Source organism: Homo sapiens, chromosome 3 (assembly GCF_000001405.40).
Source record: "Homo sapiens chromosome 3, GRCh38.p14 Primary Assembly".
In the NCBI taxonomy this organism is placed as follows: Eukaryota; Metazoa; Chordata; class Mammalia; order Primates; family Hominidae; genus Homo; species Homo sapiens.
The window spans coordinates 81,645,880-81,660,235 of NC_000003.12; the positions used below are offsets into that span (position 1 = coordinate 81,645,880).

Genomic DNA, 14,356 nt, shown 5'->3' on the forward strand with positions numbered 1-14,356 from the left:
TTCGGTCTGTGGTCTTTTAGGTCAGCACCTCTTTAATTGCATAGAATCCCTTGGTGTCTTTTCTGTCCAGAGAGAATTATTCCATCCATTTCAGTCTGGAGGGAAGGGCAGCCCTTCTGTGAGTAGTAATTGTTGTACCAAGGGACTCTTCGGTGACCTTCCTAGATGAGTCAATCTCTTTCCAGAAAACGATGTGCTCTCTCACAATAATGGCTTTCATAGGAAAAGATTTTCTGACTAAAACGTGGGCTCCAAATGAGTGACAATTTCAGCAGGTAACTGGACATTCTATATCACAAATCATCCCACGAGGAGTAACATAAAATCAAGGACAATTTCTAAGGCTGGAGGAGAAGAGAGTCTATGACCTTAGTAAAAGAAAATGTTCAGCTTCTATTAACTCTGTTAACCCTAAAAGGTTACACGATGTTATAAAAAATGAACAATTTCATTTTGTTTCTTTAAATTATTGGCTCAAAATAAAAATGAACACAATGAGTCTCTGATTTTACCTGGAAGCTGCAAAGAAGCTTGTGATTTGGTAACCAAAGCTGGCATAGTAAGCATGCTCCATGATTGCCATCAACTGAATGCAGTTGTATCCTATATAAGGCAATGGTCAAATCTAAATTAAAAGCCACATTTAAAAAAAAAGTAATGGGGAAAAAAAGCATCCTTATTCCAAATACATTAAAATTTACAAACAATCTAGAAGCTTTGGTCGTCTTGAAAAGTTCTACTACTTTAACATTTTTTTGTTTGACCTTCTAACAACATTGGATAGTCTCTTAGAGCTGTATTCTGACTAGCTATTTGATATAGCTTCATTTTAACAAGCAATAAATAATATGCAAATTTACTTAATTTGGTTTTAGCATATTAAAAACGGCAATCTCCATATGCTAAACATCAGTTACACTTGCAATATTCATATTGAAGATTATGAAAGCTAAATAAAAATAACCAATTGCATGACATACGCTTTTTATTTTGACTCTATGTATTTCTATATATTTCAATCCTTTTTTCCATATAGCATAAGAAATAGCACCAAACCCTTATTTTCCATAAGGTAGCTTTTTTTTTTTTTTTTTTGAGATGGAGTCTCGCTCTGTTGCCCAGGCTGCAGTGCAGTGGCTTGATCTCAGCTCACTGCAACCTCCACCTCCCAGGTTCAAGCAATTCTCATGCCTCAGCCTCCCAAGTAGCTGGAACTACAGGTGCGTGCCACCATCCCTGGCTATTTTTTTGTATTTTTGGTAGAGATGGGGTTTCACCATGCTGGCCAGGCTGGTCTCGAACTCCTGACCTCAGGTGATCCACCCACCTCAGCCTCCCAAAGTGCTGGGATTACAGGCGTGAGCCACCGCGCCCAGCCTGCAAGGTAGCTTTTATACAGTCAGCATTAATGCTTCTACTTTCCACTACATAATTTGCACCTAAAAAATTATTTCCAAGTTGCATATATGCATGTATGTGCATATACAAACACACGTCACCTTCCTTTCTCCATCTGAATATGTTTTGCTCTAACAGTAAATAAAGTGACTCAAAAAAGTAGATATTGTGTTTTAAAAATCCGTAACATTAAAAAAATTCTAATATATTTTTAATATAAGCAAATGATCAGAAGAAAAAGTATTGGTCTTAAAAAAGCTAAGAAAAACAGGTTTTTCTTCTTGAAGTATAATTTGGTAAAATGTTCGAATATGATTTCATTACTTTGGAAGTTACAGTTCTGTAACATACATAGTAAATATTCTTATTCTGCTCTCAAAGTCCAATTCATATAAGCTTTATAATTTTCTTAAGGTTTATATAAGCTCATTGTTAATGGCAGTTCATGTAACTATACAACTATATTTGTAAATACACTTATAAACAAAGATATTAGTTTCATTCTTCTTGGCTGATACCTTGTATCAAGCACAAATTTATAGTTTTATTCTTAATTTTTATGGCATTAATCATTCCTGGATTCACTTTCATTCCAGGTACTAGGCTAGACAATTCAAACACAAAGATGAGTAAGAGAATCCTTGTGCTGCTGAACGTTCTGCAAGAACTGGGTCATAAGCAATTTATTACTCCATAATATGAAAGAATATCTCAAATATAATAATTTAGCATAATATCTATTAATTATAATTAATACTAAATACTCTATACATTTAATTAATTTTGGTTTCTGGAACCTGACTTTACCATCACAGATAATCCATACATAACTGAAAACTTTAACCATGCCTTACAAACCTTTCTTCTAGCCAAAATTTGGACTCTCTAGCAGAAGCAGCATAATTACATGTGCTTTATCCTCCTGCCTAGTCATTGAAGCAGGTGTTAAATATACTGTTGTATTATTTTAAATATCATTACCTATAAAAACAACAGATTTAAAGCACACTGAATCAATAATTCAGCAATATATTCTTTACTCTCCTGTTTGTTATGAAGACAGGATCTGTGCCATTACAGTTCAATACATGAACATCTAGCAAAATGTGTCTCACATAGATATTCTATAAATGTTTGTTAAATAAATCATCCAGGCAGGGGCTATATAAAATAACTGATACAAAATGAGTTCCGGTCACATTACAGATAAAATATTTTTTTCCTTAACAGACTAAAATGAACAGGCTATAGTCAATAATCACTTAAATTGATAAAGGTTTCCTCCAGTAAAAAAGTAATTATGCTTACATATTTATCTATAATTTTGGAAGTCATCAGTTCACATTACTTAAAATTTAAATTGGAATAATATCTTTAATTCTTATGCTCTATCTTATTCCATTTCTCCTTTCTATGCTATCACTATTACAGGGCAATTTGAGAAGCCTAAAATAAAATGCCTTTCTATTACATATTTAATCTCCTAACACAAAAAAGAGACACTTGTAATTAGCTTTTCTAATAAGAGAACAGACTCATTAAAATTTTATCTGAATAAAAATCACAGTTATTACTTACCAAGGCCTTTGATTCTTGGTAGTACATTGCATGTAAAATGTTTATAAGAAGCTACTTTTCCTTCATGGGAAGAAATTCCCACATGAGATTCATAAATTCTTAGACTCCGTGGCTTCTTTGGTCTGGAATGCTTAAACTACAGAATATAAAATTATGTATAGAGTTAAGCCAGGAATTCTGGTATGACACTACCTGATCAAGTATATTTTTAAAAAGTGGTGAATATACTCAAACACTTGGAACTATTCTCACATATAAAAGGCACCAGCTACACTCACTAAATTTTCTCTCAGGAAAAAGTCCTTATGGTCCTGCTAGTGGACCTATTTTAAAAGATAAATCATGTAATAGCTTATGCCTTATCATTGAGTAAATTTTTTTTTAACTTAGGCCTTAGAGAAAATGTAAGAGCCATGAAATACATATGTAATTATCTAATGCAAAGTATATATCAACAAACTCCAATGATTTAAAAGACAGAAAGTGAGTTCAAACAATCACAGAACACTTGTCACTAATATGGCGGTAAAAATTACCCTAGTTAATACATTCATGAGATGGTCTTCCCCATTCCGTGTTTCTAAGGACATTGATCCTAATTCAAACCCTGAGAAATACTGCACTAAAGAGTCTCTGATCAATCAGAAATTGTAGTTTAAAAAAAAAACCAGTATCCCTTATAGATTAGTATATAGCAATTTAGTATTCTGTTTTCTTTAACCTCAAAAACATAGACAACACAAAAACTAACTTCTATATGTTACTGGCTACAGAAGACAGACTATGATACTCATACAGTATAAAAGGAATACTATGATGTAAAATACGCAACTGTCAGTGAAGATAAGCATTGAACATTACTATAAAAGTTATAAAAGTAAAAATTAACTTTCCTAGAAATATTGGAACAATAATTTATTTAAAGATTTGTTGTTCTCACCTCATATGAGTGTTCTGGATCCCAGTGTATCCAATCATAATTCACATTATCACCTTCACGAACCACATACTTTGCCCACGGTGAAATACGATACAAGATCTCTCCGCTTTTACTAGTAATAACTACCTAAAAAGAGAATGACATGTTATTGCTTTAAAATACATCCAGAACTCTGATAATACATAATGGTTTAGGAGCACTGCTACAAGTAGGAAAGGAGGACTGATCTTAAGAATCTAGACCACCATACAGATGTGTGACCTTCAGGAACATAATTCTATCAATGTTGGTTTTCTCATCTGCTGTTACTATATCATCCTTAAAGTAACTTCCAGCTTGAACATTTTATGGCTTTCTGGCAATTTCCACCACTGCAAACCAGCCATAAGAGTGCTTACTTAAACGAACAGTAGATACTAAAAAGACAAGAATATTATTTGGAAGCTTCTGTCAATTAATCAATCAATGGGAGAAAATCATCCTACTCCATTAAAAAAAGCAATTAGTGAGTTATATAACCATCTCTTTCATTTGCTTTCTATAGCAACTAATGAAAACATGTTCAGGAAGCTAAAGAAGAAAAACAGGTTTGATTAACACAATGTGCACGCACAGACACATACATTTTCCACACCTTCTCAACTTCTTTTACCTCCTATTTGTTGTATTCTTTACCATATAAAACCAAACATTATCTCCTTTAATCATCCGTTCACATATTTGCCAGCAATATGACTATTTTTGATAATAAAAAATAACAAATTTATTTTTTTAACTGAATCTACCATTAAGACTTAGAACTGAATAAATGATTTTGAATTTATCCAGCCATATAAATGGAACTTCCAAATGATTGAAATGATAGCTTTTTATTTATTTTATTTTTTTGAGACAGGGACTCACTCTGTCACCCAGGTGGAGCACAGTGGTGCGATCGCAGCTCACTGCAGCCTCAACCTCACAGGCTCAGGTGATCCTCCCAATTCAGCCTTTCGAGGAGCTGGGACTACAGGCATGTACCACCATGCTCAGCTAATTTTGGGGGGGTCTGGGGTTTTTTTGTAGAAATGGGGTTTCTCTGTGTTGCCCAGGCTAGTCTTGAGCTCCTGGGCTCAAGTGATCCTCCTGTCTCAGCCTCCCAGAGTGCTGAGATTACAGGCGTGAGCCAATGCAGCAGGCTGAAATTGTAGCTTTTACACAAAGTTGCCTTTTTTACTAAACTTTCTAAAAGGAGGTAGAATACAATTTTAAAAATCCAGATTAAAAGCTATATTATGTCCTCATCATTGAGGAGAACGTATTCTTCAGTCTCCTCTAATAGAGAAAGGTTAAGTACTCACAATTCTTAGTAATTAAATATTTGTATAATGCCTTATAGTTTATAAAGACTTTTACATTCTTATCTCACTTGATTCCAGAAAATCTTTGTGACCTAAATATTAAGTGAGATTACATAAGTTGCCAGAAGTCCCAAAATAACCAAGCGGCAGAGCCAAAAGCTCAACGCAGAGCTTCTAATACTCACTTCTCTTCTCTGAACAGGCTTCCACAGCACTTCCTTCAGATGCCAAAAAATAATAAATTATGGTTTATGACGGAGAGGCCAAGTAAGTGGTGAAAGGAATGTCTAAGTTACATGAATACAATTATTTCTCCTTCATTATGCCTCCCACCTATTAAAGCTAATCATCGCCAGGTGTTGCTATTATTCAAGCCATTATCACAAAACATGAATCAATAAGACCAATCTATTTCAACTATTTTAAGCTTAAAAAAAAAACTCCCTTAAGCTACATGAATTTGTAGCATAATATGCTACAGTAATATGTTTAAGAAAGGGCCTTTTGCTCACTCATCAACCCAGAACAAGGTATGAGGAAACAAAATACTATAAACCAGTTTTCCGTGACTACCACTTTGGCTAATCTATCCACCTATGCTTTCTCTGTTTTGTAAACGGCTCTATAATACCTCCAAAGGCCCATCATAAACTAATAATAATTTCTAAAGGTGTCTGTTGGCAGAGAAAATACTTGCAATTTTAAGACATGAAGAATCTACTTCATGCTGAATTTAACCCCCACATCCTTTGGAACACTAATCCATTCATCTTGCTGTACACACAAATGTCTCCAGAGGCTACTGAGTGATGGGTGTTGAATGTTGAAAGGAACAATACCTGCATGGTTCTCTGATGCTCCTATATCTTTTGCTGGGTATGCCAAGAAGGCAAGGCCCTGACCATTGTTAATGGGAGCCATTTCTTAGGGCTGTCCTTCTAGCAAGCAGCCTTCAAGGATAACATAATGATGCCCTTGAAGACACAGAGCTGCTACAAAAGAAGGGATTCTCCAGGCTCAATATTATCCAGCTATGATGTGAACCCAACGTGTGAGCAGCAGCCATCTGGGTCATATAGTGTCACCCCTATGGGGCTTGGAGGACAAGGGGAGCCAATGAAAATATGATACCTACTGTGCCATGAGTAATAAAATAATTGTTCTCTGTTCTAGGAGTCCTGGGCCAGAATCGACAATATGGTAACAGGTTAACTTCTAAGTTTGTAGGTAGGGTAAAATCAAATCACAGACTTGACAAAGGAGTATTTGCTCATTCACTGAATAACTTCAATATTTTGTTTCCAAAGGTTCTGTCTTCTGCTACTCTAACAGTCATTTCTACTAGGGTTGCTTGTTGAGTGGAGTATTTTAATTTCTCCATTTTCTCCTTCTCTCTTATTCATGGAATTGCAACCAACTGTTAAGGAGAGCAAAGCTTTCTACCAAATCCGGAACACTGACCTGTGATTGTTACATAATAAATATCTCTACTCTTTAGGCCCCTGGATTTTGCAAGTATTTTTGTTATAGTAACTTAGGTTTTACTTACTAGTACATTTGTCTATAGTAGCTGTCTCACCTTGCTTTTCACTTTCTGTTTCTAAATTCTTGTAATCTTCATAACCAAATAAGAGTATCATAATAAATCTAAATAAATTTAATTTGAGAGACAATGCAAAGAGTAAAGACTATAGCCTTTACGGACTAAACTTTGCTCACAAAACTCTTTTGGTGAGGGGGAGGGTACATCCTGCATTTGTGTTATGCTCCAATGAGTTCAAATTCCAGTCGGAAAAATTTTTAGAGAAAACTTTATGTCATTTAACTCACAACCTCAAAATGTCAGCATGCTATGGAGCAAACTGAAAGAAAGAACTGGCTTGATTGATCTTTCAACAATAAGTCTGGTAGCTAATGTTTAAAAGAGTTCACTTGATACTGTCAAATGGGAGGTCTGATACACTGCTAGTGTGAGTATAAAGCAGTATAAAATTTCTGAATAGCAATTTGACAATCTGCATCAAAAATTCAGAAAAATTAATTCCAGGTCAGGCACAGTGGCTCACACCTACAATCTCAGCACTTTGGGAGGCTGAGATGGGAGGATCACTTGAGGTCAGGAATTTGAGACCAGCCTGGGCAACATAAGGAGACCTGGTCTCTACAAAAGATTAATGAAAAATAAAATAAAATTAAGCTAAATTAAACGGCATGATGATGCATGCATACAGTCCTCGTTAATTAGGAGGGTGAGGCAAGAGGACAGCTTGAGCCAAAGAGTTCAAGGGTACAGTGAGCTATGATCATGACACTGCACTCCAGCCTGGACAACAGAGAAAGACCCTGTCTACAAAAAAAAAATAAAGCTAAAAGAAAAAAGTAACTTCAATGAATCAGCAATACTAATTATAAAAGCTTGCCTCATGGAAACAATCAAGATATGTGCTCAAAAAACAATAGCCTTGTCTATCAGTCTTGGTGCTACTTCTATTAGCAAACACAGAGTGACTGAATAATGTATAGTTGTTAAAAAATATACTATTTAAGCATATTAAAGGTTGCAGAAAAAGTCTTCTAAGTTATATGAAAGAATATATTGTATCTTTCTAATGTAAATGCACAAAAACTCACAGCCTAAAGTATTTTAAAAGATATAAAAATATCAATATGGTTACCTATGGGTAAGGGGATTGTTAGTAGTTTTTATTTTTTAGCTATACGTTTTGATATTATCACTTCATTTACTTGTACAGATTCTAGATTCCAAAAATATAAGCGGTTTAGTAAGGATTACAAATATATGAATCATCTAATCACACATACATCTGCAGAGTGTGCTACTTAAGGTGTACATCTTGCGTACCTTAAGTATATTAACACATTAAGAAATACAACTTAACAAAATATATCAAATTACTTGAAAGAAATATAATGAAAATAATACCATAATAATACCAAATAATACCATAATAATCCTTTTTAATGAGCCAAATTATTTATTTGACTTATAGGAGGTTATCATCAAAAGACATTATTAGATTACATAAATAATTTAATAAAAGAAACTTCTAACTGTGTAAAAGTCAAATTAACTTAGTGAATGGTTTAAAGTCAAATTTTATTTAGAACATGTCATTTAAAACTCAAATACACAATATAAAAAACAGTAAATGTTGAAGACAAAAAAGTGTGTGTGTGTGTGTGTGTTCATTCATGCTTGGAATATATTTTAAAGTGCTTCTTGCAAAACACAAATTTTCCATGTACTGGAAAATTACTGAGATAATATGTTCCTTAGGTGGCCAACAGTTTTATATAAAAAATCGGATGTGTTCAGCTGGTTAGAAGTAACTGTTAGCATATTTTGAAAGATGGTAATGAATGTAGCTCTAGGCTTCATGAAGGAAAGTGTAGCAGGCTAACAGAAAACGCACAGTTATTGAATCATATAATTCAAATTGCCCCAATTATACTACAAATATCTCCTAATGTTGTGAGGAGAAGCTTTTCTTTAAAAAATTTTTGCTTAAAGCAGAGTGAAAAAAAACATATTGATCAAGATAACTATTTGATAGGCTACAGGTCAAAGTGAATTATCAAACAAGTGATTTCTAATTTATAGAAAAATACTACTTCCACTTCTTTTTTATTTCACTTTTAAAATTTCAGCTTTATTGAGTTATAATTAACAAAAATTGTATATATTCAAGGTGTAAAACAATGTTTTGATATATGTACACATAAACCCAACATATTTTAACAACATGTATATTTTTTGTTTCTACCAATCAGATGAGATGATGGCCACAGAGTATTTGCCAGCTGTTAATCCTTTAATAGCTGAGTTGTCCCGAGTTCTGGAAGTTCTGGAAGAAACATGAGGGTGGTAGGAGTTGTACTCACAAGTCCCTGAGCAGTACCTATTTATCAAATATTAAAATATTTTTATTTTAATAATAAGTATAGCCATACCAGTGTACAATGCTGAATATCAGTATTCTGTGTGCATATATATGTATATGTGTATTTCCAATAAGACTGAAACACACACACAGAGACACACAGACAGGTCTGGCTAATTGTTATTTTTAGTAGAGAAAGGGTTTCACCATGTTGGCCAGGCTTATCTTGAACAACTGACCTCAGGTGATCTGCCCACTTCAGCCTCCAAAAGTACTGGGATTACAGGCATGAGCCACTGCACCCGGCCTATAATTAATTTTTAAGTAATTTGTAGAAGAGGGTGGAAGGAACATAAAAAAGAAAAAAGTAATCAAAAATTTGTAATTAAGTAGAAAAATAAGTGATATTCCAGATGAAAAGCTAACAATTCTACCAATGACCTGAATCCCGAAGAAATAAATGTGTGTTTTTGTTATTGTTGTTGTTGTTGTTGTTGTTATGGAGTTTTACTCTTGTCGCCCAGGCTAGAATGCAATGGTGCCACCTCCACTCACTGCAACCTCCACCTCCCAGGTTCAAGCAATTCTCCTGCCTCAGCCTCCTGAGTAGCTGGGATTACAGGCACCTGCCACCACGCCCAGATACTTTCTGTATTTTTTTTAGTAGAGGCAGGGTTTCACCATGTCGGCCAGGCTGCTCTCGAACTCCTGACCTCAGGTGATCCACATGCCTCGGTCTCCCAAAGTGCTGGGATTACAGGGCTGAGCCACCACGCCCAGCCAAATGTGTGTTTTTAATAGTCACAAATATCTAGTGTAAACATTATTTTAAAATGCATAGATAGAATTTATAATCGCTAAAACTTTAAAATAACTTAATACAATTTAAAGTAAAGCTCATAAATTTCATTTCAACCAAACTAATCTTTCACTACTTATCCTTGTTTTTGTTTTGTTTTGTTTAAAACAGGACCTATTTGTATAAATTCTATCCACAGCTCTGCTTGTCATTTCTGCTGAGCCAATTTAACATTAATGAAGCTTATGTGAAGAGTATGTGGGCAAGAATCTCTTTGCCATTGTGTGAGGCTGAAAATGGCCTCCCAAAAGATATCCACACCCTACGCCAAGAATCTGTGAATGATACCTTCTGTGACAAAAGAAGGTCTTTGCAGATGTGATTAAAGTACAAATCTGGAAATGGAGAGATTCTTACTCCATTTCCAGATTCTGCAGGGGGGCAATCACAGAGGGAGATTTTACATATAGAAGAGGAGAAGACACTGTGACCCAGGAGGGAGAGAGTGGAGTGACGAGGATACTAGCGAAGGAATGCCAGCCACTTCCAGAAGCTGAAAATGTCATGGAACACATTCTCCCCTAGAACCTCCAGAGGGACTATGGCCCTGACAACAACTTGATTTCAGCCTGGTGATACTGATTTTTAACTTCTGCACTTCAAAGCTATGAGAGAATACATTTACATTATTTAAAGCCAACATATTTACACAGTAGCCTTAGGAAACTAATACAGCCAATAAGGGAAAATTTGGAAACAATAATTTTTCTATGAATAAAATGGAAATAAACTTAGTTGAAATTTGTCAGTACTGGAAAGAGTTTAAAGATATAAGTTATCTTCATGAGTAGTCTAAATAATACATTTGTCTTGTGTTCTTACTCCCAAAAAGTAGACAAATATGTACTAATACGTTACAGTGAACTTCACTAAACAAGGTAAGTCTCCTTGACGATTCCCAGGTAAAGCAAACTCCTTCAAAATAAACATTGCTGAGTTCCAGACTTGAGAGAAGGGACTTTAAAAATGTGAATTTGTGCCCGGGTGTGTGGCTCACGCTTGTAATCAAAGCAATTTGGGAGGTCAAGGCAGGTGGATCACCTGAGGTCAGAAGTTCCAGACCAGCCTGATCCATATGGAGAAACGCCGTCTCTACTAAAAATACAAAAATTAGCCAGGCGTGGTAGCAGGTGCCTGTAGTTCCAGCTACTCGGGAGGCTGAAACAGGAGAATTGCTTGAACCTTTCAGGCAGAGGTTGCAGTGAGCCGAGACCACGCCACTGCACTCCAGCCGTCTCAAAAAAAAAAAAAACAAAACAAAAAAAAACAATAAATTTGTAATACACAGTTTTTATACCTAGCCTTCTTCCCACGTAAGTATTTTCAAAGATTAGACAAAAACAATCACTGCATACGTGATGTAAATGAAGCCTCTAAATTTACCATATGGAAAAGCAAAGGGAATATTTTTTCCTACCCAATACCTGACATATTTGCTTCATTAAACAGAGATGAAACTATTTAAGTAAACAGATAATCAGTGAACAAAAAAAAAATATCTATTGAAAAAATTGCATTCTGAATTTCCTAACTAGGAAGATGAAAATCAGAAACACTCTTCATCGTAACTGCTAGTTCATTGTGAACTTTGAGTTTATATTTCTATTAATGGGGAATTAAAATAAAGAGATCACTAAAATTAAACAGACCTTAATATATAAAAGACCACTTCCTGGGTGAATTTTTCTAAAACTGTACATAGTTAATCGGTAAGATTATATAAATTAGGGTAATATTTAGGCTACAAATGACATTATATATTATTTAATTAAGCCTGCTATGGGTACCAAATAAACATAACTGTTTTCTTGAAATTATTTTAATTTTCTGTTAATTTTATCTGGATAATAAAGTTCATATATTTTAGAAATCTCTTTCTTTGCCTCATAATTTAGTTCATAGTTTTCAATTAATCAAATAAACTTATATAAGACATATGCATATAAAATCATCCTTGTGAGGCTCTTTACATCTACAATGTTCAGGAATTGAGAGAGGTGGATAGAGAGAGATTAAATGATTAGATTTTGCCCCTGAGCTCTTATATTATGCAAGACTGGACACTACACAGGAGAAAAGAAGATATCCTGGCTAGTAGCTTAACTAAAAAAGGATAGAAATTAGTTAAACTTCTAAAGCAATAACCTATAGATCAAATTTCACTAGATACCATTATTTTAGATTTCTTATTTTAAAACATGCCATCATAATGTATTTTTTTTCTTTAATAAAAAACAAGAAACCTTTCCAAGGTTGAATCCATAGCAACAGCTTGAATAGGACAAAGGGTTTCTCTAACAAAAATAAATACTAACAAATCATAATTTTAAAACTTCATTAAAGGAAAAGACTGAGTATATTAGCTATGAAAAATAAATCTGTAATGTGATACAAATGAGTGTCAGACCAGTTTATACAAAACTTTGGGATAACAGACACCAATGTATAGAACAAAAAAAAAGACTATTTTTGAGGTATAATACACATAGCTTCTTTGTCCCTGACAACACCAATTAGAGAATTATAAATATATTACAATCTCATTTCTGTAATACTTACACATGAGAAAGAAGAAACTGCAGAATATTGTGAAAGTAAATAAAGGTCAGTAGTCACTTCTGAAACCAGGTCCTGACTTAGAATGATTTAGAGAGACAGAAGCTTCTGCACCTATAAAAAGGAGTATTATCCCCCAAGGTTTATACCCTAGTTCCCCTATCTTCTAGCCTAGTTAAGGAGTATTACAATTGTAATATGGTTTTCTTTCTCTGCTTTTCTACCGAGGCAAATCTTTAAAGAAATAAAGAAACAACTAAGTAGGACTGATAAAGTGTTTGCTTCATTTCAAGTACATTACCTGAACAAAAACCTTACAAAGTGAGGTCACTACAAAAAGACAAAGTCCAAAGGGATTATTTGAGATTTACGAAGCAGGCATTGAAAACGATATCCCTGAACAAGTGAGAATAAACACTCCTAAGTGAAAAGAAAAGGAACAATGCTGAGATGTTGTAATCATGTAAAGATTGATTAGGTGTCTTAGACTAGAAAACAAATGAATTACACATGATACAAAAATATGGGATTTAAACATCCAAGATATTGAAAGATCAATATCGTAATAAAAGAAAAAGGCTATGAAAAGGGGAAAAAATCAGTGAGTTTTCATTACTGAAAGAGTGTGCTTCAAAGAGACTCATCCATGTGCAGTGAAGGTTAGAATTCTATTAAGTAAACAGAGTTATAATCTGGTATAAAGCCAATAAAAAAAAATCTAAGAAGTATTTTCAGAAGTGATAGGATAGGGGAAGCACTATCATAGGATGAGTTGAAGTTCTTTTAAAAATATTTTATTAAGTATAATTACAAAAGTCTATGTGGTAATAAATTCAATCATTTGAAGAAAAAAATATGATTCCTAAGCAATCATTCTTTTTTTATTTTTTTTTTATTTTTTTTTAGACAGTCTCAGTCTGTCACCCAGGCTGGAGTGCAGTGGCGTGATCTCGCCTCACTGCAACCTCCACCTCCCAGGTTCAAGGGATTCTTCTGTCTCAGCCTCCCAAGTAGCTGGGACTACAGGTGCATGCCACCACGCCCGGCTAATTTTTTTTTTTTTTTTTTTGTATTTTTAGTAGAGATGGGGTTTCACCATATTGGCCAGGTTGATCTCAAACTCCTGAGCTAGTTATCCGCCCACCTCGGCCTCCCAAAGTGCTGTGATGACAGGTATGAGCCACCGCACCCGGCCCCTAAGCAATCATTCTAAGTGCCATTGCAATGAAGTAAAATATAAAGCATGGAGGGAAAAAAAAGAAATAACTCAACCCCTAAAAGAAATCTAGAGAAATTCCGAAGACTACACACAGAATACATAATTCTAAAAATTATAGGATCTTTTAAGAAAACATACAATTACATATTCAATAAACATTAAGACTATTACATCCAAGAATATAGTTAATGACTATTAAATAAACAGTTAATGATGAGATGAATTCCTCTTGAATCTTTAAATATTCTTTACAAATTAAGGTCTCACAGGTTGGAACACTATCATTCTTTTCTCTCCTTTCTTCTACAAAAAATCTGTATTTTGCCAGGTATAGGTGATTTTAGAGTAAAAAGAACTGGAAATAGATATGTATGTACAATGATGAAAGTAAATACAACCATCAAGAAATAAGAAAGCGATGAAATAGTTTGTATTATGGGAAAGAGATAATGACTATCAGTAAGAAGTAGCACTAGATATGCATTTGGATAATTTCTTGTCAATTGATTTTTTTAACAGCATTCCAGTAGGTTATAAAAGATGGTCAAGAATTGGAGTGACCTT

The 14,356-nt window shown here is 34.2% G+C and overlaps 1 protein-coding gene across 2 annotated transcripts in view; it reads right to left on the minus strand.

Moving 5' to 3' along the window:
• GBE1 (1,4-alpha-glucan branching enzyme 1) overlaps positions 1 to 14,356 on the minus strand; it is a 271,943-nt gene that overhangs the window by 156,177 nt on the left and 101,410 nt on the right. For both annotated transcript variants that reach the window (XR_007095662.1, NM_000158.4), the window contains exons 4-6: positions 3,917 to 4,042; positions 2,977 to 3,112; positions 513 to 603 (exon numbers count right to left, since the gene is read on the minus strand). Coding sequence is in view for 1 of the 2 variants with exons in the window: in NM_000158.4 (NP_000149.4) it covers positions 513 to 603; positions 2,977 to 3,112; positions 3,917 to 4,042 (353 nt within the window). In the remaining variant the exon portion in view is untranslated. The remainder of the gene's footprint in view (positions 1 to 512; positions 604 to 2,976; positions 3,113 to 3,916; positions 4,043 to 14,356) is intronic.